Source organism: Homo sapiens, chromosome 17, assembly GCF_000001405.40.
Source record: "Homo sapiens chromosome 17, GRCh38.p14 Primary Assembly".
In the NCBI taxonomy this organism is placed as follows: Eukaryota; Metazoa; Chordata; class Mammalia; order Primates; family Hominidae; genus Homo; species Homo sapiens.
Genome location: NC_000017.11, coordinates 35,349,816 through 35,375,063, shown reverse-complemented (window position 1 = coordinate 35,375,063; position 25,248 = coordinate 35,349,816). Strand labels below are relative to the sequence as shown.

Genomic DNA, 25,248 nt, shown 5'->3' with positions numbered 1-25,248 from the left:
AATTCCCTCAGATTTTCAGATTTCCTTTTTTTTTTTTTTTGTCTGAAGTCATTACTTTGCCTCCATTTAGGTAGGCCTTTTTTGTGGTTGTTATAGGATTCTAGGTTGACAATCTTTTAGCACGTTATAGATGCATGGTTCTGGATTTGGTACAGGTTTGCACAGACTCTCTGTAAACATGTTAAAGAAAAATGGAGAAGCTGCAACATGAGAATACGAAGATTTACTGAAATGAAAAGGTGGTCATTGAAAGAAAGTGGGTTATGAAACAGCATGAACATTATGACCTCATTTTAACAAACGTGCGTAACATACACATAAGTGTAATATGTATGTACATGTATCCATACACACATTGTATATGTATAATGAAATCCGTTTTATTTTCTTACTTTCGCTTTCACTGGAGCCTGTATTAATCAGTGCGGCATTAACCGCTGCTCCCACCCTCGGGCCACTCCGCATCAGTGAGAAGTGGGCCTCCGACAGAGCCGCCCGGGCCTAGGGTTCCGCAAGGCTGGCAGCACGGAGCCCGGCCAAGGGCGAGCGCTCCGCCAAGGATGGGGAGTTGGCCAAAGACAGGAGGATTACAAAATCCAAACACTCGGACAGAATCCTGGCGGGTGCTAAAGACTGCAGCGGGGCAGAAAAGCAGAACGCTGGCAGGTTTTTTTCATATCACTAGCAGCGTGACGGTTACCGGGGTTGACCAAGCACAGCGCACCGGCCGCCGTTAAATCCCACTCTGGCTCGGGGTCTGCGGAGCCTGCCTCAGCCGCAGGCTCCATAAACCCAGCCAGGAACCAAGCGCGGCCCAATCTGCACATCTGCCGCATTTTGGCAAGGGGTCCGGGGTCTGGAACAGAAGCGGAGGCCCAAATTCTTGCCTCGGTCTCCAAGACCCACTTTCTGGGGCGATGGAGAGAGAAGCCCAGCTTGGGATCTGGGCAAGTCGAGCGGGTTGGAAGGGGAAAGCTCTGGCGAGAGCTCAGCTGGACTCTCCGAGGGGTATCTGGAAGGTGGGACCGCAGGCACCGGGAGAGAAGAGGGTGCGAGGAAGGAAACGGCCACCCCGTTGGGAGCGCAGGAGCCGACAGCTGCTTGGGCCTGGGAAGTTCTTCTCTTTCTTCATAATCTTTATTCTTTGTTTTGCTGTAATCCAGATAGATGAATAGATAGATGATAGGGAGGGAGAGATGGATGGAGGGAGCGAGGAGACGGAGGAAGGGTGGGAAGAAGGGGGAGGAAAAAATCCCCAAATTCCCGGAAACTAAGAACTACGTGGCAACAGTCAGAAGGGTGGGAGCTTCTAGGCAATTTAACGCGGCAGAGTTCGCGGGCTTAGCAGACCCGCCCATTGGCTCTTGCATCTCCTGCGTGGGATGTGCGTGGGATGGCGCCAACCCGCTAGTATATAAGGACTCGACCTGGGCGCCTCCAGGGAAACGCTAAGGGGGCTTCGGAAGCGCTGGAGCTTGAGAGGTCAGAGAGGGTCCTTGCCCCCAGCCTGGGACTCCGGAGTTGCGTTTCTACCCGTGCTTCAGGGTCTAGCCCAGCCGAATCCGCGTCGGGCTGTAACTCGAGTGCCAGGTTCGAGAAGGGAGCAGCACCCTTCCCACCCCACCCCAGCCAGGGTGTGGGGTGTGGGGAGGGGCTGGAGGGGTGCGGAGGGGCTGGGGGTGGAGTGGAGTGGGGGTATCTGTGCTTTTCTCCCCTGTCCGGGGGCCCAGCTAGTTTGCTCAGCAGGTTCCCTAAAAAGCGGACTATGGAGGACTGGCGGGCGGGGCGGGGGTGGGTAATGGGGGTAGAAGGCATTAGGGGCGGGGCGGGCCTGACCTGTGCACCTGCTCCCGCTGGAAGTTGGAAGAGCCCCTGGCCAGCCAGCCGCGGTTTCTGCGGGGCGCGGAGCAGGAACCGAAGCCTAGAAGGCCACTGAGTGCACCTTGGTGGCTCCCAGGGCTGCAGATCTCAGGTTTCAGAGTTATTGGTATTTTAAACTTGAGAAACTAGTTCTACAGCTGTCTATGTGACCGACCAACCACTCTAAACTATTTTCCTTAATATAGAAACTAAAAGGCAGAATTAGAATTGCCATTGCCCTGCGGGGAGATTTATAATCTAGAGGGGGGAGAAATGAGAAAAATGTCTCCCTCTGGACAAGATCTGTAGAATACACGTGCTACCCCAGAAGGACAAAGAGCTCTAAGTTTTAGTTTTCCAAGAGGGCACATCTGTCGCAGCCCATTTCCCTTTCTTTTCTTTTTTTTTAAATTAATTTTTAATTTCTGTGGGTACATAGTAGATGTATATGTTTATGGGTTACATGAGATATTTTAAGACAGGCATGTAATGTTTAATAATCACATCACGGTAAATGGGGGTATCCATCGCCTCAAGCATTTATCCTTTGTGTTACCAACAATCCAATTATGCTCATTAGTTTTTATTTTATTTTATTTTATTTTTGTAGGTACATAGTGGATGTGTATATTTATGGGGTACATGAGATGTTTTGATACAGACATGCAATGTGAAATAAGCACACCATGGAGAATGGGGTATTCATCCCCTCAAGCATTTACCCTTTGAGTTGCAAACAATCCAGTTACATTCTTTAAGTTATTTAAAAACGTACAATTGTTATCATTGACTATAATAACTGTTGTGTTATCAAATAGTAGGTCTTATTCATTCTAATTTTTTTGTACCCATTAACTCTCCCCACCTCACCCCTTCCCTCCTACCACCCTTCCTCAGGTAGTCATCCTTCTGCTCTTAGAATACAATTGTTTTGATTTTTAGATGCCACAAATAAGTGAGAACATGTGATGTTTGTCTTTCTCTGCCTGGCTTATTTCATTTAACGTAATGATTTCAAGTTCCATTCGTGTTGTTGCAAGTGATTGGATCTCATTCTTTTCTATGGCTGAATAGTACTCCATTGTGTATATGCACATCATTTTCTTTATCCATTCATCTGCTGATGGACGCTTAGAGTGCTTCCAAATCTTAGCTATTTTAAACAGTGCTGCAGGAAACATAGGAGTGCAGATGTCTCTTGGATATACTGATTTCCTTTCTTTTGGGTCAATACTTAGGAGTAGAATTGCTGAATTGTGTGGTAGCTTTATTTTTAGTTTTCTGAGGAACTTCCAAACTGTTCTCCATAATAGTTGTACTAATTTACATTCCCACCAACACTGTTTGAGGGTTCCCTTTTCTTCACATCCTTGCCAGCGTTTGTTATTGCCCGTCTTTTGGATAAAAGCCATTTTAACTTGGATGAGATGGTATCTCATTGTAGTTTGGATTTGCATTTTTCTGATGATCAGTGATGTTGAGCACCTTTTCACATGCCTATTTGCCATTTGTCTTCTTTTGAGAAATGACTATTCAAATCTTTTGCCCATTTTTCAATAGGATTATTAGATTTTTTTCCCTATAGAGTTGTTGGAGCTCCTGATATGTTCTGGTTATTACTCCCTTGTTGGATGGTTAATTTGCAAATATTTCCTCCCATTTTGTGGGTTGTCTTTTCACTTTGTTGATTGCGTTCTTTGCTGTGCAGAAGCTTTTTAACTTGATGTGATCCCATTTGTCCATTTTTGCTTTAGTTGCCTGTGCTTGTGGGGTATTGCTCAATGAATTTTTGCTCAGATCAATGTCCTGGAGATCTTACCCAATGTTTACTTGTAGTAGTTTCACAGTGTGAAGTCTTAGATTTGAGTCTTTAACCCATTTTCGTTTGATTTTTATATGTGACAAGAGTTAGGAGTCTAGTTTCATTGTTCTGCGGATAGATATCCAGTTTTCCCAGTGCCATTTATTGAAGAGAATGTCTTTTCCCTAGTGTATGTTCTTGGCATCTTTGTGAAAAATGAGTTCACTTTAGGTGTGTGTATTTGTGTCTGGGTTCTCTATTCTGTTCCATTGGTCTATGTGTCTGTTTTTAATGTCAGTATCATGCTATTTTGGTTCCTGTAGCTCTGTAGTATAATTTGAGGTCAGGTAATGTGATTCCTCCAGTTTTGTTCTTTTTGCTTCCGATAACTTTGGCTATTATAGGTCTTTTGTGGTTCTATATAAATTTTAGGATTGTTTTTTCTATTTCTGTGAAGAATGTCATTGATATTTTAATAGAGATTGCAGTGAATCTGTAGATTGCTTTGGGAAGTATGGATATTTTAACAATATTGATTCTTCCAATCCATGAACATGGGTATATTTCCCCTTTCCATATTTTGGCTCTTCAATTTCTTTCATCATGATTTTATAGTTTTTATTGTAGAGATCTTTCATTTATTTGGTTAATTCCTAGGTATTTAATTTTATTTGTGGCTATTGTAAGTGGGATTACTTTATATCTTTTTCAGATTGTTCACTATTGGTATATAGAGATGCTACTGATTTTTGTATGTTTATTTTGTATCCTGCAACTTTACTGAATTTGTTTATCAGTTCTAATAGTTATCTGGTATAGTCTTTAGGTTTTTTTCAAATGTAAGATCATATCACCTGCAAACAAGGACAATTTGACTTCTTCCTTTCCAATTTAGATGCCCTTTATTTCTTTCTCTTGTCTAATTGCTCTAGCTAGGATTTCTATGTTGAATAACAATGGTGAAAGTGAGGATCCTTATAGTGTTCCAGATCTTAGAGGAAAGGCTTTCAGTGTTTCCCTACTCAGTATGCTACTAGCTGTAGGTCTGTCATACATGGATTTTATTATGTTGTGGTATGTTCCTTCTATACCCAGTTTTTTGAGGAGTTTTCCATGAAGGGATAATGAGTTTTATTAAGTGCTTTCTCAGCATCAGTTGAAATGATCATATGGCATTTGTCCTTCATTCTGTTGATATGATGTATCACATTGACTGATTTGCATACGTTGAACCATCCTTGCATCCCTGAAATAAATAGCACTTAGTCATGATAAATGATCTTTTTAATGTATTGTTGAATTAAGTTTGCTAGTATTTTGCTGAGATACTGGTCCATAATTTTTTTTCTTTGATGTGTCTTTGGTTTTGGTATCAGTAATACTGGCCTTATAGAATGAGTTTGTAAGTATTCCCTCCTTCTCTAATTTTTGAATAGTTTGGGTAAGATTGATATTAGTTCTTCTTTAACTGTTTGGTAGAATTCAGTGGTGAAGCCATCGGGTCCCAGACTTTTCTTTGCTGGAGACTTTTTATTATGGCTTTGTTCTCATTACTTCTTATTGGTTTGTGCGGGTTTTGGGTTTCTTCATGGTTCAATCTTGGTAGGTTGTATGTGTCTAAGAATTTATTTCCTCTAGATTTTCCAATTTATTGGCATACAGTTGCTCATAGTAGCCACTAATGATCCTTTGAATTTCTGCAGTATCAGTTGTATTGTCTCCTTTTTCATCTCTGATTTCATTTATTTGGGTATTCTCCTTTTTTTCTCAGGTAGCCTGGTAAAGGTTTGTCAATTTTGTTTATCTTTTCAAACAATCAACAGGTGGTGAAGCCAGCCAAGCTGTGTTCTTTTCTTCAGAGTGGCAAGTTCCCCCAGGCCCTAGGTGGGTTCACAGATGCTATCCAGGAGCCAGGGACTGGAGTAAGAAAACCTTAGAAGTCTACCTGGTGTTCCATTCTACTGGGACTGAGCTGGCCCTCAAATCATGAGACACAGTCCTTCCCATTCTTCCCTCCTTTTTCCACAGGCAGAGGAGATGACCCTGTGGCCAACACAACCACGGGTTCACAGGGAGTACTGTTAGCTATTGCTGATATTCACTTAAAGCCCAAGGGCTCTTTAGTCAACTGGTGGTGAATGCTACCAGGTCTGGGACTCACTCTTCAGGACAGTGGACTCCCCTCTGGCCCAGGTTGGGTCCAGAAATGCTGTCCAAGGGCCTACTTGTTGCTCTACCCCTGTGGCTAAGCTGGTACCTACGGTGCAAGACAAAGTCCCCTTTACTTTTCCCTCTGCTTTTCTCAAGCAGAAAGAGTCTCTGCCTGTATGCACCACAGCTGGGGTTGTGCTGAGTCTCACCTGAAGCCAGCAGAGTCTCACCCAAGACCCACGGCATATTACCTGGGTATCGTTGCTGATTATTCAGGGACCAAGGGCTCTTTAGTCAGCAGGTGATAGATCCTGCCAGGACTGGGTCTTTCCCTTTAAGGCAGCAGTTTCTCTTCTGGCCCAGAGTGTGTCTAGAAATGTTGTCCAGGAGATAGGGTCTGGAATGGGTGTCTCATGACCCTGACCAATGTGCTATCCTACTGTGTCTGAGCTGACATCCAAGATGCAAGACAGAAGTCCTCTTTAGTCTTCTCTCTTCTCTCCTCAAATGGAAGGAAGGGATCTTTTTGGAGCTGAGAGTCACACTGTCTGGGGTTGGGGGAGGGGTGGTGCAAGCACTCTCTTAGTCGCCCCAGCTGGTATCTCAGTAGGTCGTGTGCCCTCCAAGCCTACTGGCTCTGATCTCAGCTCAGGGCTAGGACTTGCCTAGGAGTTTCAGTCCTTGTGGCCTAGAATGCCTTTCAAGTTTATTTAGAACCCCCTAGCACTTCAGCTACAGTGGCGAGGCTTGCTGAAACTCAGGTTTCAACTGCTGGGATGGACAATTTCCATCTCACTAGGGCTGGTCCAAATTCTGCCTCCATGGGCAGGTATATGCTGGATTCAGCATGGTTTTGCTTTTCACTGTAACAGGGCAGTACTGAGTTCAATGCAAAGTCTCACAATTGCTGTGCCCTCCCTTCCCCAAGCACACAGATTTCTCTGCACCACATGGTCACTGCTGGAGAAGGGGGATGGTAGGTGGAGCCTTCTATTACACCGTCTTGTTCTGCCCTCCCATTTCCCTTTCTGTTCAGTTTCTATCTGAGGCTAGCCAATCCCCTGTGATCTAGGGGAGATGGGTGGGAGGATGGAAGGAAAGGGGAAGTAAAACAAAAAAATAAGAACCACCCAGAAGCATACAGAAAATTGGGCACTACTTGACAATTTGACATTGCAAAGTTTTCCCAGGCTAATTCCTCACCTTTTAGGGAGTTTGCTGAGCAAACTAGGTAAGCCTTCTTGGCAGGGGAGAAATGCACAGATGCTACCCACTGAGCCCCTCGCTTGGGGGTGGTTGTCCCTGCATGTCCACATCAGAGTCACTGCTCCATCAGGGGTCCTGCAGGACTAGATCCTGGGGCATGGGGAGAAATGGGGACAGCTAATAAATGGAAACCGTACAGCTAATAAATGGAAACCATACAGCTAATAAATGGAAACCATACAGCTAATAAATGGAAACCGTACAGCTAATAAATGGCAGAGCTGAGATTTGAACCTAGGAAAACTGAGTCTTAATCCTTGAACTCTGTTACCTCTGTCTACATAGGTTTCTGTATACATAGCCTTCAGGACTGCTTTTGGTGGAAAGAGATAGCAGGTGGTGCTAATTCACTGTGTTGGTGGGAACTCTGGCTACACTGAAAGGTTTGAAAAAGTTATCCTGTAAACTGACTAGAATCAGGTGCTTTTGTTTCTGAAGTGCTTTTGTAAGTGTACTGAGTTTCTTTTCTGAATTCTTAATTTCTTATTGACTTAGTTTAATTTTATTTAGGATTTCAAATTTATATGGGACAATATCTCTACCTTACAAAAAATGTGCAAGTGATGCTGATTATAATTCCTTTAATCCTAAGGAAAGAGCTTGAGATAGAGCTCCCTAAGCCTTTTTTGCCTGCAAAAGAATCTAAGCAGATGGTGGGGTTGCTGTTTAAATACAATTGCCAACCAAAAACTATAATCTATTGGCTTTGACAATAAAGTTTATGGGGCAGAGAAAATATTTAACTTTGAAATCCCTGTACATCGAAAGGAATATTTTACAAATAACTTGACAAAGATGTTTCAATGGTCTTGGAATGCAGAATGGAATTTTGAGAAATAGAAATTTGTAGGCAAGGGTCTAAACTAGGCAAGGTGGTAAGAATGTGGATGTGCCAGCCTTCTTTTTTTTTTTTTTGAGACAGATTCTTACTTTGACCCCCAGGCTGGAGTGCAGTGGCACGATCTTGGTTCACCACAATCTCGTCTCGAAGGCTCAGGTGATTCTCTCACCTCAGCCGCCTGAGTAGCTGGGACCACAGGTGAGTACCACCACACCTGCCTAATTTTTGTATTTTTTGAGGAGGTGAGATTTCACCATGATGCCCAGACTCGTCTCAAACTCCTAGGCTCAAGTGATCTGCCTGCCTCAGCCTCCCAAAGTGCTGGGATTACAGGCATGAGCCACCAAACCCGGCCCAGCCTTCACTTTTATCTAACAAATTTCTTCTAAATGTCTTCACACCTCAGTCATCTCATTCCTTCTGTCACCTGCAATAACATCCACCTTATCTGTTCAGAGTTACTAGCACCCACTGAGACTTGTAATTCCAAGCCTTTAGTATAGGATGGATTTTTGTAGGAAAGGAAAATAAGGCTGTGATAGTCTGCTTCTACATATTGTATATATCCTTGATGACTTCAAAATAGTTTATGAATTTACTGATTGTTTTAAATTTTATTTTATTTTAATAATTTTCCAATAATGATGCAAGGTATTTGTTGACTGTATTTAAAATTTTTATTTAAAAAAAATAATTTTCAAATAATGATGCAAAGTATTTGTTGATTGTACTGATTTTTTACAATTTTGTTTTAAATAATAATTTTCAAATAGTGATATCGGTTATTTGTTGATTATATTGATCTTTTTGAACAATTCTTAATCTTGATTATTCATAATCTTTATTTCAAAGTTCACGCTCCTTCTTTATTATTTCCCTTATTGAGACCTATAATCCATTCACCTTTTTACTTCGTTCCTATCAATGCGATCCCTGCCACCCTCATTCCCTGACCTATTTGTCTTAGAATGCATAGTCCAGATTTCAGTTACTTCTGTGATAAAATCCTACCCTTTCCCCCGACTACCTTTTTAATTTGAAGGAGGATGGCTTTTAAAAAATGTTGTAATAATTCAGAATTCCAGAAGTGCAAAGACAAGAAAACAACAAAAATTTATGTCCCACCCACCTCTGAGATGTATTTGGTACAGGTGCTTTTTCTTCTGAACTTACAGCATTGTATGTACAGTTAAAGGCTTAATTCTCCAATCTCATTATTTTCCATCCTTATTGTAACCTCTGTAAAAAATAAGTGCATCTTTATTCACTATGCTTTTCTCCTTTTACTAAACATAAACGTATTTATTACAGTTTTTAAAATATTTTAATCTAAATGCTATTCTATTGTATATTATTTTTTGCAAACCTGCTTTTTAAATTTATCATCATGCTTTGAGAGTTTATTTATACTTGAAGATATGATTTACTTATTTTGTCTGCTGTATTAATCTTCCATTGTAAGTTGTTTGTTTCCCATGTCAAATATCTTTCTTGTTCTTTATAATGTCTGTTTCAAACTGTCTCCATTCTATTATTAAAATGTTTTTGTCAGCTGGGCATTGTGGCTCATGCCTATAATCCCTAGCACTTTGGGAGGCCAAGGCAGGAGGATTGCTTGAGCCCAGGAGTTTGAGACCAGCCTGGGCAACATGGGGAGACCCCCATCTCTACAAAAAAAAAAATTTTTAAAGAATTAGCTGGGTATAGTGGCTGTGCGCCTGTAGTCCCAGCTACTCAGGAGGCTGAGGTGGGAGGATCACTTGAGCCCCAGAGTTTGAGGCTGCAGTGAGCTGTGACTGCACTCCAGCCTGGATGACAGAGTGAGACCCCATCTCACACGCAAAAAATATTTTTGTCCTGTTTTTATACCAAGTGCCTCTGTCTCAGGGGGTGACTTTATTTCCTACCTCAAAGAGAAAAGTGAAGCTATCAGAAGGGGACTCTTTCAGCTTCCTCCCACCAAAGCGATAAGCCTACCTTTGCCCATGCCTATTATCTCCATTTCTCCTCCTCCTGACCTTCTTCTGCATCCTGGATCACATTCCTTCCTTACCTCTCTTTTCAGGGCTTTCACTGTCTCAATCATCCCAACTTCCTTCTACCTCTTTAAATTTTCACTTCCCTACTGGCTTCTTCCCATCTAAATATGTTCAGTTCAGGCCTTTCCCATCTTAATAAGATTCTTTAACTTCCTCTTTTCCTCCAGCTACATTTCTTTTTACCTCTCCCCTTTATAGCTTCATATAGTGAACAAGTTGTGCGTATTTGATGATACTATTTCCTTACCTCCCATTTATTCGTTGACTCATTGTGAAATGGACAATTAATATAGATTCCTTTACTAAACACCTGTGAACCAAAATATAGTGTTAAATACTTATTGAGAATTATTCTCAATTAATCCTCATAATAACAGGCATATTAAGGTGGATGCACCATGTTTTATAGGTAAGAAAACAGAGTTAGAAAGATTAAATATCTAGGTTAATGTTATAATACTTTTAATGACAAGTGGAATTCAAGCCATCTCCATGAACTCTGGTCTGTAAGACCTTAGCCTCTGGTTTATTGCCTCCTGGTGCCCACTGCCCAGGTGTCTGAACAGCATTTTTCAAAGTCACCAATAACCTTAATTTTACTAAACCTAATAACACTTTTGAGTCATCACCTAGCTGTACCTGTCAGCAGTATTAGACACCTTGGCTCTGTCACACCCCACCTTTGCAGCCTCAGTTTTTCATTATGCCATAGATCTGAGACCTCTGTGCAGGTGACTTTGTTCTGGGCTTCCTTAATACCATATGCCCTTGGTTTTTCTCCTACCTCTGGTTTTTCACAGTCAGTCCTTTCTGAAGTCTCCTTTTCAATGTTGTTTTCTTTTACTCATCCCCTAAAGTTGGTGTTCACTGGAACATCAACAACCTAAACTGAGATAGTCTCATGCCATTGTACACATGCCCTTCATGCGCTCCACTGCTTCCATTCTTCAATGCTGATAACTTCACCTGGCCAATTCCAATGCATCCTTCAGGTCTTTAAATGTCACCTTTGCCTTGGAAGTCTTTTTGAACCATCATCTTCAGATTAGTTTAGATACCCCTTTAGTATATTTTTCCTCTCATAGCCCATATCATATATGATGTTAAATGCTAATTTCATTAGCACCCTTCCTTGCCAGCCATTCTTCTCCTAAAGAGAAGGGATTGCTCCTGTCTTGCTTGCTAGTCTATTGTCTTCTCTCAGCACATATTAGACACAAAATAAATACCCTTTTAATAAATGAATTGCATGCATGTAACACTTCATTTCTTCTAATAGTTTCAGCTGTGAGTTCAACATGGAGGCAAATCAGTGCCCCCTGGTTGTGGAACCATCTTACCCAGACCTGGTCATCAATGTAGGAGAAGTGACTCTTGGAGAAGAAAACAGAAAAAAGCTGCAGAAAATTCAGAGAGACCAAGAGAAGGAGAGAGTTATGCGGGCTGCATGTGCTTTATTAAACTCAGGAGGAGGAGTGATTCGAATGGCCAAGAAGGTTGAGCATCCCGTGGAGATGGGACTGGATTTAGAACAGTCTTTGAGAGAGCTTATTCAGTCTTCAGATCTGCAGGCTTTCTTTGAGACCAAGCAACAAGGAAGGTGTTTTTACATTTTTGTTAAATCTTGGAGCAGTGGCCCTTTCCCTGAAGATCGCTCTGTCAAGCCCCGCCTTTGCAGCCTCAGTTCTTCATTATACCGTAGATCTGAGACCTCTGTGCGTTCCATGGACTCAAGAGAGGCATTCTGTTTCCTGAAGACCAAAAGGAAGCCAAAAATCTTGGAAGAAGGACCTTTTCACAAAATTCACAAGGGTGTATACCAAGAGCTCCCTAACTCGGATCCTGCTGACCCAAACTCGGATCCTGCTGACCTAATTTTCCAAAAAGACTATCTTGAATATGGTGAAATCCTGCCTTTTCCTGAGTCTCAGTTAGTAGAGTTTAAACAGTTCTCTACAAAACACTTCCAAGAATATGTAAAAAGGACAATTCCAGAATACGTCCCTGCATTTGCAAACACTGGAGGAGGCTATCTTTTTATTGGAGTGGATGATAAGAGTAGGGAAGTCCTGGGATGTGCAAAAGAAAATGTTGACCCTGACTCTTTGAGAAGGAAAATAGAACAAGCCATATACAAACTACCTTGTGTTCATTTTTGCCAACCCCAACGCCCGATAACCTTCACACTCAAAATTGTGAATGTGTTAAAAAGGGGAGAGCTCTATGGCTATGCTTGCATGATCAGAGTAAATCCCTTCTGCTGTGCAGTGTTCTCAGAAGCTCCCAATTCATGGATAGTGGAGGACAAGTACGTCTGCAGCCTGACAACCGAGAAATGGGTAGGCATGATGACAGACACAGATCCAGGTAAGAGGGAGAAAGCTCCTCCCTCCCTGTCCTTTCTACATCCTTGGGACCTCCCATATTAAATTTTCCTTTGCTGCCTATGACTTTGAACATCTTACATCCACTGAACACTTTATTTTGAATCCCCAAGTATTCTACTTTTCATACATGAGAAAATTTTGTTGGGTGATTAGAAACCTAACTCACATGTCTATAAATGGCCAATTTTCTACATTAGTAACTGAACAGAAAATTATTTGAGAATGGCCACCCTTGCAATGGTGTACTGGAATGGCTCTTACTGGCTTTAGAATCAATTATTAAATTTTCAGGAATTTTTGAGCTAGTTGTTAAACATAGTTATTACTAAAAATTAGATTGTATATACTTGCACCTAAATAAATCGTATCAGAAACAAATGTAATAAATTCAAACTCACCACTTCCTAATTATTTGCTACATTTCACTATTATCTTTGCTTGAGAGATTATTTACATCTATTGTATCTGTGTGGTGGGAATACTATAAAATGGAGTGCTACTGTGCATGGCTTTCCAACTCTGTATTTAGTGATAATCCATTAGGAGCTTGAAATTGTCCATGGCAGGAAGATTTATAAAACAGAAACTGGCAGTTGGCTATGAACGAGGGATCTCTTCTCAACTAGATCTGTTTATTAAACCATCACCAGCATAGATAGTACTGCTTTCTGGGGTTGCTTTCTTGGGCTGGGCTTGGTGGCTCATGCCTCTAATCCCAGCATTTTGGGAGGCTGAGGTGGGTGGATCACCTGAGCAGGAGTTCAAGACCAATATGGTGAAACCCCGTCTCTACTAAAAATAGAAAAATTAGTCAGACGTGGTGGTGCGTGCCTGTGGTCTCAGCTACTTGGGAGGCTGAAGCAGAAGAATTGCTTGAACCTGGGAGGAGGAGGTTGCAGTGAGCCGAGATTGCACCACTGCACTCCAGTCTGGGTGACAGAGCGAGACTCTGTCTCAAAAAAAAAAGCCCTTTGCATTGAAGTTTGCTATCACCTTATAATAGTACCCTGCCTAAATTAAGATGTAGTTTATCTCTTGATCCTTGAGGACATTGTTGATTTTGTAGCTCAGGAAAATTTGAAAGTAGCTCAGGGCCAAGCATGGTGGCTGACACCTATAATTCCAGCACTTTCGGAGGCTGTGGTGGGAGGATCACTTGAGCCCTGGAGTTTGAGGCTGCAGTGAGCCATTATTACAGCAATGCACCCCAGCATGGGTGAGAGTGAGACCCTGTCTCAAAAACAAAAGAACAGAAAGTATTTCAGGGTGATGAGGGTCACGGGGGTAGGGGTGTATTCAAGGTTTGTCCTCAGTACCGTTTCATATTGTCCTGTGTCTCTGTTTATCCTGTTGATATTTTGCCTTTTCTTCCACTCATCACCATGTACCCATTATGCTCTATGCCAGCAGGTATAATCTGCTCTACCCCTCTGCTCCTAACAGTTTGAAATATTTCTTGCCTTGCATCACTACTGCTTCCCAAACATGTTTCTATATTTACCCCATCATGCTATAATTTGGCAGGCTAGTGGGCTATCTCAGTGTCTCTAGAACAACTGAGAACACCCTAAGCCTGGAGAAACACAGAGAGAACATAAAAATTGGGACACAATCTTCTGAGTAAAGTGGATGTGTACTTGGAAAGGAGATATTATAAAGCTGACTCCAATCTCCAAAGCACATGAAAAAGTTAATGCACTCTATAATGTCCTTTGATTTCACACAATTTCTCATTTTAACTTCAGGAATAAGCATAGGTGTCAGAATGTCACCCAGGCTGGAGTGCAGTGGCGTGATCATAGTCCACTACAGCCTTGAACTCCTGGGCTCAAGTGATCCTCTCACTTCAGTCTCTTGAGTAGCTGAGGCTACAGGCACAAGCTACTGTGCCCAAGCCCTAAGCTATTTTTTAAGTGTGAGTAATGGTAATTACAAATCAGTGATGAGATGATATTGAACAGAGTTGAGAGTTGGGTTCAGGAGAGGTGGTGGCAGTTGGAGAGGGGATGTAAAACAAGATACATGCACAGACAGCAGTACTAAAAGAATGAGCTAGGTAACGTAACAGGTGTGCAAACAAAATGCTAACCAGATACAGAGAATGAAGAATTATACTGAATGGAGAAATACAGTTAAACTTCCAAATAATGGCTTTTCAGGGTGGGTTTTGGCAACCTTGATATGCAATAAAGGCACTTATCTAGAGTAAGTGAGTGAGAGGAGAGTTATTTTGATATTATCTCTCAAGTCAAACTATTTAGAAAGTCACACATTCCACCTACTGATAGAGCCTCTTTCAGTATGAAGAGATTAACACGTCAGAATAACATGAATTTTCTTTCTTAAGATCTTCTACAGTTGTCTGAAGATTTTGAATGTCAGCTGAGTCTATCTAGTGGGCCTCCCCTTAGCAGACCAGTGTACTCCAAGAAAGGCCTGGAACATAAAAAGGAACTCCAGCAACTTTTATTTTCAGGTAATTATGGTTTGTCTTCTCAACACCAGCCAGTTTCTATATTAGGATAAAGGGAGATTAAACTATAATATTTGTTTTGTAAAATCCTGAAAGTGCTCTGCAAACCCATTTGTAAGACGTGATGATGTTACAATCCTATTGGTGATAAGTGGTTTAGAAATGAACCCTTACTGACCCCACTGGCTAAGGCAGGACCACACATAGAATCCAGGAACATTATTTCCCTTAAAGACTATTTGTTCTTGTAGTTCCCAAATCTGGCTGATCATCAGTGTTTCTGGTCATTTTTAAAAGGACACATATCTGAGTCCCTACTCCACTCATAACAAATTGGAATATGTGGGGAGAGTGGCTTGCAATATGTACTTTTCTCAAACTACCCTCATGATTTTATGTTCATCTAGATTGGAAACCTTTTATCTAGTCAAACTAGTCATATGCTGCACCAGAGAGCAGCCAAAAAACTGCCTGCCCTTGCCAGATTTTCCACGGGAGTGGTGGTTGTAAATAAGAGAAAACAATATAAATCTAGGTCAAGATGGAAAACAAAACATTTAAAATGGAGATGGATTATGCATTTCTTCCCATGTTTTGGGTTTAGGACAATCACGTAGCAGCACAAACACAATAATTCAGGACCAAGGTCAACGCCTTTTCTCTACTCTTATCCCTTGTTCCCATGATAGGCTTTGCTTAGGAATCCATTGCTGTCTTTGTAGAATCCCAGAGAGGGAAAACCACTTGCTTAAATCTGTGCAGTAAGTCAGTGGCTTATCTGGCACTATAATTGATACATAAATGTCCTATATATGTGTAAATATCTGTCAAGGATCATTAAATTAATAGATAATGACTGCCCCCATTAGAATTTCATTTTTTCCTTTATCCAAGGTCCTTGCATTCATTTACATATCAAATTTATATTTTAGAAACTGTCCACAATAAACAATGTAAAATCTAACAGTAAATCTATTAAGCGCTGCTAATCACCTTTTAAGCTCAATAAGATCCATTTTAGTAGAGCTTATTACCATGGAATAAATTATAACTAAGACAAAATAATGGGCTATATGCCCATAGAGGAACAGCCTATTATTCTGGTATAAAAAAATCAGTTTTCTAAAACTTCTACCAAACTTTTGAAAAATAGGCATTTTTTACACTATTTACATTGTTCTAAATTCATAGAAAAATAACACAAATTCCCAAGTCTTTTTTTCTTTTTGAGACAGGATCTTGCTCTGTCACCCAGGTTGGAGTGCAGTGATGTGATCATAGCTCATTGCAGCCTTGAACTCCTGGGCTCAAGTGATCCTCTCACCTCAGTTTCTTGAGAAGCTAAGACTATAGGCATGAGCTACTGTGCCCAGCCCTAAGCTATTTTTTAAGTGTGAATAACAGTAATTGTAAAACTTGTTAAAGATAGAAAAAAAGGAAAAGGAAAAGGAAAAGGAAAACTCAGATTAATCCTACTTATTAATGAGGATGCAAAGACAGAATTCCAGAAATACAAGCATGTGTCAACATTTAAAGAGTTAATGTAATTCATCATTTCTGTGTATCTATGCAAATAAATTATATATTTGTTTTCTAATACATCAAAAAGGCATTTGAAAAAGCTCAATACATGTTGTTTTTTAAAGGTCCTCAATAAAATAGTAACCTATAGTTCTTTAACATTATATATATATTTACATGTATATATATGTCCACCAAGAACATCATGTTAATTGGGAGAGATTACAGGCATTCTATTAAATTCAGGAACAAAACAGCCATGTGCATATTACAAGTACAATGTAATATTAATTGGCCAATACAGTTAGATAAGAGAAAGAAATTAGAGGGATTAAAATGGAAGAAGATAGGACTATATATCTGGAGAATTCATGATAATCAAAGAAAACTACTGTAAACAGTAAAATAATTCAGAATGAATATAAGTACTTATATTAGTATTATAAGAAGAAACTATAAAAATTAATATGCAGAATTCAGTATCTTTAATATAACATATAATGAAAGAAAACACCCAATTTTCAATAGCAACAAAAAGCTAAAATATCTGCAATAAACCTATCTAATGCAAAAGTTAAAATAATATTGAAGGACACAGAAGCATAAGTGAATCAGGGAATGTTACATACTTTGAAGGAAGAGTCAACATCACAAAGTTGTCAATTCTGAAGTTATTTTATATATCAATTTTAAAAAGAGATTATTTAAATCTAAACATAAAAACTAAATGAGCAAGAACAGCTGGAAAATTAAAACCTGAAAAACAAGGGAAGCTATCTATAAATAATATATATTATTTATAGATATATAAATATAATATATAATTATATAACTATAATATATAGATATATAAAATATATATTATATAAATAATTATATATTTTTAATTTTATTATTTATTTGTTTTTTAAAATCTTTATATTATATTTTTATGTTTATTATTTCATATTTATATATTATATATTTATATTATTTATATATGATATATATTATTTATATATATTTAAATATATATTATATATATAAATAATAAAAAGAGTTGTATTGTCATATAATTAGACCAAAGTTACAGAATGTAGGATCTGGAAATACACAGAAACACAAATTAAAATTTAGTTTATCATGAAACTGGCCTTGCAAGTAAGTAGAGAAAAACAGACATGCTCATAAATACATAGGGTAACTTGGTGGCAATTAACTGTTTAAAAGATGAACTCATACTTTACTTCATATACTAACATAAACTACAAATGGATCAAGAATTTAAAACAAAAAGCCAGAAAAGTTCTAGAAGAAAACATAGGCAAACATCTTTATAATTTTTGCGTTAGACTTAAAAAAATCAAGATTCAAAATCTGTGAACCATAAAAGTAAAGACTGTTATATATGACTGCATACAAATAACAAGTATTGTGCATGAGTAAAGCCACTAAGAACAAAGTCAAATGACCATGACCAGTAGAAAAAATATTTGCAACCCGTATCACAACCAAAGGGCCAGTGTCTCTAATATATAAAGAGCTTCCAGAAGTTGATAAGGACACAGACACACACACACACACACACACACACACACACACACACGCACAGAAAAATCAACACGGATAGTCCAGAGAAAATAAAATTCATACAGCTTTGAAACATTTGAAAAGATGCTAAATATTAATCAAAATAAGAGACATGTAAATTAAAAGGAGAATTATTTCCGTCTACTGGATTGTTAAAAAATGAAAAAACCTGACATTATCTCTTATTTGCTAGTTGTGGGGAAACACACCTTCTTGTACATTGCTAGTGGGAGTCCATATTGGTACAACTCCATTGGAGGACAATTTGGCAATATATTAATATATTGGAATCACAAATGCATTTAACCTTTGGGATTTTATTATGTGTGTGTGTGTGTGTGTGTGTGTGTGTGTGTGTATGCTACATATGCTTACATACACACCAAACATACAAGGTTACTCACTGTAGTATTAACATAATAGCAAAAGACTGGAGGGAAAACTCAAGGGCCCATCAATAGGGACTGGTCAAACAAGATATGGTACATCCATAAAATACTGTGTTAGATAGCTGTAAGAAAAGAATAAGGAATTGTGCATTGATATGGAAAGATCTCTACCATACATTGCTAAGTGAAGAAAAAAGTAGTTGCTGAATGGTTTGCTACCTGTTGGGAAAGAAAGGGCAGAATATTTGTTTGTATTTGCATAAAGTAATTTCGGAAGAATAGGCAAGAAACTTAAAAGTATCTGTGATAAGGGAGAAGGGTGAGATTGGGAAGGCAGGAAATTAAGAAAATGAGAGTAGGAGTGTTTGGGTATTTGGTATAGGAATATATTAACTAAAGTTATTTTTTTAAAAGACAATTTTCATTTTTGGAACACTGTTATTGTTATTAGATTTTGAACATTAATGGTGGTAAACAAACTATGTTTATACTTTTACAATTAGAATCCAGATATTAAGAATAAAGATGTTCTTAGCACACTAATTATTAGCATTGATTGACAATAATTTGGCTTCAGAATCAATGCTGTCAGTGCTTCTCTTGGAAGAAATGCAATGATTGTCTCAAATAGAAATTTTGTCTATAACTGGAGTTACTGGTACTAAAGATAGTCAGGGCCTGGTGTAGTAGGTCAGAATCAGCCAGCTCCAGTGTTCTTCCTCTTGGTGTCCTAAACCTTTAGGATACCTCACCTGATTGATTTCTTATGGTTTGAGAACAACTGCCCTGGACCCTTCACTGCTGATTCTAAAGATTCCCTAGATCCATGGTGAAATTAGTTCCCAGAATGGATACAAAGTGGGAGCTCTGAGGACAGAAGGATGAATATGGGAGTTCTGGGGAGGGTGAGGAGTTTATCAAGTGATCAAGGTGGAAGTCTTCAGAGTTTCAGAGCACACCTGTGCAAAGGCACAGAGTCCTCAAATCACATGGGGAGTGGTGACTACTCTGGTGCACCTGGAATGATGGCATTAATTGAACACCTAGTCTGGTCCCTATCATTACTGTTATGTGGAATATCAAAGAAATGAAAGAAGCACTTCTTATCTTCCTATAATTTCCTTCAGAAGCATGCTCCATTATACAATTAAAGAAAAAGAAGACCTATGCAATGATAAGGTAAATAAACATCAAGTGTTTTAGTGACTTTTACCATTTATCAGGCAGGAGTAGTCTGTGACTTGCAGGGCAGGGCAAAAACAGTAGAGGATCCGATGTCCAAGAGACTTGGGTTCAGACTCGCCCTGCCATTTCCTAGTGGTGTGATGTTGGGCAAATCACTTGATCTCTTTTATTTTTTATTTTTTGAGACAGTATCTTGCTCTGTCGCCCAGGATAGAGTGCAGTGGTGCAGTCATAGCTCACTGCAGCCTTAAATTCCCTGGCTCAAGCAATCCTCCCACCTCAGCCTCCTGAGTAGCTGGAACTACAGGCCCATAGCACTGCACCCAGCTCTCACTTGACCTCTTTGAGTCCTTATCTACTCATATGAAGATGGGAATAAATATGTCATCCTTGGAAAATTTGTGAAGACCAGAGATACATGCAAATTCCCTGGTAACAATCAACAAATGATGTATTTTCTTATTTTACATTTCTTTGGTTTCCAAAGCTTCATTTTAAACATATACTCAATTATCCTATTTTATCCATTCTAAGATGTGTATCTCCCCCTATATTTTAACATCTCTAAAATCTGGATGTGTCTCATAATAGATGCTATCTCCTACTGTCATCTAGGTTGCAGGGATAATCAAGTCGTGTGAGCACCTGGTACGAATGAGAAAGCACTAGCAACAATGAACAAGAAACAATTACCAATAAAATCTGGGTAATTTCATTTGAAATTACCACTACAAATCTTGATTTGGGTTTGTACTCTAACACTACCACAACAGGACAACAATTATCTTCCTCCCCCTCCCACTTTGGAACCCTTGATCATTGAAATAAGTTCATAATCCTCCAATGCAAGTATATTCTCGTGTCACATAATTATTTCTTGTTTGCCTGTGACACAGGGAAGACTTTTGTGGTAGTGGGGAGCCATACGTTGATCTTTAAGTGATGCAAGAATTCTGCTTCAGGAGAGATAGCTTTAAGAATCTTCCAGTCCAGGACTGCAGGAAATTCGCTGCCAACAAAGGTTTTAATATGACTCCCTCTCCTCTGCAACTATGGAGTTAATGACTACCTTCTTCCTGTGGCAGTGGAGGAGGGGGGGCTCCTGCTACTCCCAGCAATGGGGCATTTTGAGATTCAGGTACTTTGAAAGTAGAAAGGGGAGGAGGAGAACCAACATTTCTCAAGCAGCTACAATGAGCCAAACATTTTATGTTATTTCATTTATTCCTCCTCATAGGAAATGTGCTATTCTTAGTTTTGTTTTACAGATGAGACAGCAAAGTCTTAGGCTAAGGAATTTCCCAAGGTTATAAGTTGTAAAAAACACATGGGTTTAGATGAAGTATACCAGATATTCCAAGGGTTCTTTTCCTTTATAACTATAATATAATAATATTTATAAAATAGTATTTGAAACTTCTATAAGTAATCATTTAGTTAATCAATTAGTTAATTATAATTAGTCATCTTAATCAATAGGGTTATTTCTCTTCCTCTAATTTATCATTCTTTTCACATACAGTCCCACCAGGATATTTGCGATATACTCCAGAGTCACTCTGGAGGGACCTGATCTCAGAGCACAGAGGACTAGAGGAGTTAATAAATAAGCAAATGCAACCTTTCTTTCGGGGAATTTTGATCTTCTCTAGAAGTTGGGCTGTGGACCTGAACTTGCAGGAGAAGCCAGGAGTCATCTGTGATGCTCTGCTGATAGCACAGAACAGCACCCCCATTCTCTACACCATTCTCAGGGAGCAAGATGCAGAGGGCCAGGACTACTGCACTCGCACCGCCTTTACTTTGAAGCAGAAGCTAGTGAACATGGGGGGCTACACCGGGAAGGTGTGTGTCAGGGCCAAGGTCCTCTGCCTGAGTCCTGAGAGCAGCGCAGAGGCCTTGGAGGCTGCAGTGTCTCCGATGGATTACCCTGCGTCCTATAGCCTTGCAGGCACCCAGCACATGGAAGCCCTGCTGCAGTCCCTCGTGATTGTCTTACTCGGCTTCAGGTCTCTCTTGAGTGACCAGCTCGGCTGTGAGGTTTTAAATCTGCTCACAGCCCAGCAGTATGAGATATTCTCCAGAAGCCTCCGCAAGAACAGAGAGTTGTTTGTCCACGGCTTACCTGGCTCAGGGAAGACCATCATGGCCATGAAGATCATGGAGAAGATCAGGAATGTGTTTCACTGTGAGGCACACAGAATTCTCTACGTTTGTGAAAACCAGCCTCTGAGGAACTTTATCAGGTAAGCAGTTGGATCTTACGTCTCTAAGTATTATTTAATCTGGGTTTAATTTTTTCTGCTAAGTCACCGTCTTTCTTGAGAATTGAGTGGTAAAATGATCTGTGGTAATGTACTGTGCTCGGAGGAACATGATACAATTATTTTCTCCCCTTGTTTTTTTAGAGAAAACCTGAGTGTGTTCTTTTAATTTTTACAGTGATAGAAATATCTGCCGAGCAGAGACCCGGAAAACTTTCCTAAGAGAAAACTTTGAACACATTCAACACATCGTCATTGACGAAGCTCAGAATTTCCGTACTGAAGATGGGGACTGGTATGGGAAGGCAAAAAGCATCACTCGGAGAGCAAAGGGTGGCCCAGGAATTCTCTGGATCTTTCTGGATTACTTTCAGACCAGCCACTTGGATTGCAGTGGCCTCCCTCCTCTCTCAGACCAATATCCAAGAGAAGAGCTCACCAGAATAGTTCGCAATGCAGATCCAATAGCCAAGTACTTACAAAAAGAAATGCAAGTAATTAGAAGTAATCCTTCATTTAACATCCCCACTGGGTGCCTCGAGGTATTTCCTGAAGCCGAATGGTCCCAGGGTGTTCAGGGAACCTTACGAATTAAGAAATACTTGACTGTGGAGCAAATAATGACCTGTGTGGCAGACACGTGCAGGCGCTTCTTTGATAGGGGCTATTCTCCAAAGGATGTTGCTGTGCTTGTCAGCACCGCAAAAGAAGTGGAGCACTATAAGTATGAGCTCTTGAAAGCAATGAGGAAGAAAAGGGTGGTGCAGCTCAGTGATGCATGTGATATGTTGGGTGATCACATTGTGTTGGACAGTGTTCGGCGATTCTCAGGCCTGGAAAGGAGCATAGTGTTTGGGATCCATCCAAGGACAGCTGACCCAGCTATCTTACCCAATGTTCTGATCTGTCTGGCTTCCAGGGCAAAACAACACCTGTATATTTTTCCGTGGGGTGGCCATTAGGAAGAACTCCAAATCAAAATGCTATGTAAATGTCTATGGGTGACAGTCTGCTGATGGTAGAAACCTTTCTTTTTAGTTCACAAGTCAGAGATTTGGACGGAGCTGACACAAAGAGTTTGGAGCTCCCCCATTTCTGGCTCTCCTTTCAGGGGTTCCTTCCCCAACCCTTTCAGCAGCGGTGGCTGCCCCCCATTCTGACCCCTGACTCTTCCAGCCAGAAAGATGGTGGTTTTCTAAAGGAACTTTAGCTGTCCTGCACAATGCCGATCTGTGTCTTGCATTTTGGGTAAAAGCCATAAAAATAAGAAACTCAGCCTGTGGCCTTTCTTTCTTCCAAGGCTGGGCTTCTTTTTTTAAGTGACTTCATGCAGTTTGTTGCTTTTAAAAATTTGTCCAGAATCGTTTTCTGCAGAAGCATGGTCTGTTAGGAGCTTACTGGCCGTAGCAGAAGCAATTGTTTCCTGAATTCTTGACATTTATCTTTGCTGTATTCATTTAGGGCTTGGGAGAGTCCGAAGATAATTCAGTCACTGTCAGATTAATAATTTTGTCAGGACAAAGAATACCGTTATGATTATTTAATCCTTTAAAATTGTGGTCTCCAGAGCTTGTTCTCAGAATGGCCCAGACCAAGCCTTAATTGTGATAGTGAATATTAATGGTCACTTTAAGGAGAAATTATAGGCCAAGATGAAATGAACATAAACCTGTTTGCCCTGGCTTTCAGTGGAAGATGATATTAGAGACCAAAATCTGGTTCTGAAGGTGTGTATCAGCCCTAAGGTGAACCAGACTTGGGAAAGATTGTCTTTAAAAATCAATGAGTTTATGTTTTAACTTCTCAGCTTAGTTCTATGCATTGCTCTATAACACACCTAGTTAAGTTTTATGTTATTCTTGAACTGTGATTTTTTTTCTATTTACTTTCATGGTTTGGTGGGCCATTGTTATGGACTGAATGTTTGTGTCCCACCCTTCACCCCCAAATTCCCGTGTTGAAGCCCCAACCTGCACTGTGGAGCTGGGGCTGCTAAGGAAGTAATTAAGGTTACATGAAGTCATGGTGGGGCTCTGATCTGCTAAGGTTGGTGTCCTTATAGGGAGAGACCCCAGAGAGCTTGTTCCCTCCCTCCCTGTGCATGCAAACAAGAGGGCATGGGAGCACACAGAGAGATGGCAGCCACCTACAAGCCAAGAGGAGAAGCCTCACAATCAAACTCTCGCTGCTGGCGAGAGTCTTGGACTCTGTCTTGGACTTCCAGCCTCCAGACTGTGAGAAACAAATTTCTGTTGTTTCAGCTTCTCAGTCTCTGGTGTTTTGTTATTGCAGCCTGAGAACACAGCTGTACGATTATTTGTCAAACAGAAAACACTGATACTTAACAATGCTAATGCAATTATTTATTTGCTTTTCAGTCTCTACAAAACGTTCTAAAACACTAATCTAAATATTAACAGTAAAATATTTGCATAACTAATGGAAACTAAGAAATCATATGACCAATATTTCACTTATTGGTAATCTTACTCTACTGATTTCCCCCCAGACTGTGATTTTTGAACTTCCTTGCCTTTCTCCTGTCTTTCTGTGTTTATTCATGGAATTCCAGTTATCTGGGCTTGAAATTGCAGGCTCTCCTAACTTAAGCAAAATCTGACAGATCAGCAAAATGAGATAAATGTTTCTTTTTTCTTTCTGACTGCATTAAATCAGATACAACTCAGCATTAAAAAGCTATCTTTGTAAATGTTGTTACTAATAAATTAGTCTTATAAGATCCCTGGACTTTGGAGTTGTTGCAATGTCTTTGAGAGTAATTCTTTAAAAGTCTAATTTCGACTGGTTGTATCTCTTTATGATTTATTGCCCCACTAACAATATTTGAAACAATATAATATTTTAAAATGTATAAATAATTATGAATTTTTGTTTAGAACAAAGAGGATTACTGATATTTGTTTCCCTATGAATGGCAAAAGGTTTAGCTTACTACTGCATTTCTGTTTTAAATAAAAAGTTGAGAGTTTGTGTCTCATTAAACTGAAAAAAATGGTCTTGTAAAATAAGTGCTTAAATGGGGGAAAAGGAGAAGACTGAGGCCAGTGACTCTGTGAGAGGGCCAAAACGAGCCAGTAAAAGATTAAGCAACATTAACTTTCAATTTTTTTTTTAAGAGACAAGATCTCACTATGTTGCCCAGGTTGGAATGCAGTAGTGCAATCATAGCTCACTATAGCCTCGAACTCCTGGGCTCAAGTGATCCTCCTGCCTCAGCCTCCGAAATTGCTGGGATTATAGGCATGAGCCAGTGCACTAGACTCAGTTGGGTTTGGATGGGTGCCTGCCCATCTCTGCAATCTGCCTCTAGACATCTGGGACCTACTTCACTAAAGATCTGAAAATCTACCCAGCCATTATAAAATGAAACAAAATGTTTTTATATTTTAAATTAACTTTTTATTTTAGAGTAGTTATAGAATTACAGAAAAAGTTACAAAGATAGTACAGAAAGTTCCTGTGTCCCCTTCATTTAGTTTCC

At 39.9% G+C, this 25,248-nt stretch overlaps 1 protein-coding gene and 1 long non-coding RNA gene across 18 annotated transcripts, besides 5 other annotated features; one reads left to right on the top strand and one right to left on the bottom strand.

Moving 5' to 3' along the window:
• Positions 1 to 208: 208 nt before the first annotated feature.
• Positions 209 to 1,967, bottom strand: LOC105371933 (uncharacterized). Its single transcript, NR_171638.1, has 2 exons — positions 1,837 to 1,967; positions 209 to 1,152 (listed from the first exon to the last, which is right to left on the bottom strand). It is a non-coding gene; the product is annotated as an uncharacterized LOC105371933 (long non-coding RNA).
• Positions 516 to 615: an enhancer, noted in NCBI's record as "active region_12066". NCBI's record gives its function as "activates an Ori minimal core promoter by ATAC-STARR-seq in GM12878 lymphoblastoid cells {active_cell/tissue: GM12878}" and the evidence as "EXISTENCE:reporter gene assay evidence [ECO:0000049][PMID:35858748]".
• Positions 1,286 to 1,335: an enhancer, noted in NCBI's record as "active region_12065". NCBI's record gives its function as "activates an Ori minimal core promoter by ATAC-STARR-seq in GM12878 lymphoblastoid cells {active_cell/tissue: GM12878}" and the evidence as "EXISTENCE:reporter gene assay evidence [ECO:0000049][PMID:35858748]".
• Positions 1,426 to 1,475: an enhancer, noted in NCBI's record as "active region_12064". NCBI's record gives its function as "activates an Ori minimal core promoter by ATAC-STARR-seq in GM12878 lymphoblastoid cells {active_cell/tissue: GM12878}" and the evidence as "EXISTENCE:reporter gene assay evidence [ECO:0000049][PMID:35858748]".
• SLFN11 (schlafen family member 11) lies at positions 1,443 to 24,759 on the top strand. Of its 17 annotated transcripts, none has more exons than NM_001387158.1 (7): positions 1,443 to 1,482; positions 7,364 to 7,461; positions 8,021 to 8,117; positions 11,238 to 12,325; positions 14,693 to 14,821; positions 21,005 to 21,728; positions 21,925 to 24,759. In NM_001387158.1, exons 4-7 carry the CDS (start codon positions 11,257 to 11,259, stop codon positions 22,706 to 22,708), a joined length of 2,706 nt encoding a protein of 901 aa, NP_001374087.1. In that variant the 5' UTR covers positions 1,443 to 1,482; positions 7,364 to 7,461; positions 8,021 to 8,117; positions 11,238 to 11,256; the 3' UTR covers positions 22,709 to 24,759. The 17 variants fall into 17 exon arrangements, with proteins under 17 accessions (NP_001374087.1, NP_001098060.1, NP_001362937.1 ...); NM_001104590.2 differs by having other exon boundaries at positions 8,001 to 8,117; NM_001376008.1 differs by having other exon boundaries at positions 7,364 to 7,523; positions 8,001 to 8,117.
• Positions 6,476 to 6,525: an enhancer, noted in NCBI's record as "active region_12063". NCBI's record gives its function as "activates an Ori minimal core promoter by ATAC-STARR-seq in GM12878 lymphoblastoid cells {active_cell/tissue: GM12878}" and the evidence as "EXISTENCE:reporter gene assay evidence [ECO:0000049][PMID:35858748]".
• Positions 6,626 to 6,675: an enhancer, noted in NCBI's record as "active region_12062". NCBI's record gives its function as "activates an Ori minimal core promoter by ATAC-STARR-seq in GM12878 lymphoblastoid cells {active_cell/tissue: GM12878}" and the evidence as "EXISTENCE:reporter gene assay evidence [ECO:0000049][PMID:35858748]".
• Positions 24,760 to 25,248: the final 489 nt, after the last annotated feature.

Coding starts and splice junctions, on each gene's coding strand:
- SLFN11 (NM_001387160.1), top strand. CDS start 11,257: ATGGAGGCAAATCAGTGCCCCCTGGTTGTGGAACCATCTTACCCAGAC. Junction 14,822..21,004: donor CCAGCAACTTTTATTTTCAG/GTAATTATGGTT, acceptor TTTCACATACAG/TCCCACCAGGATATTTGCGA. Junction 21,729..21,924: donor CCTCTGAGGAACTTTATCAG/GTAAGCAGTTGG, acceptor TAATTTTTACAG/TGATAGAAATATCTGCCGAG.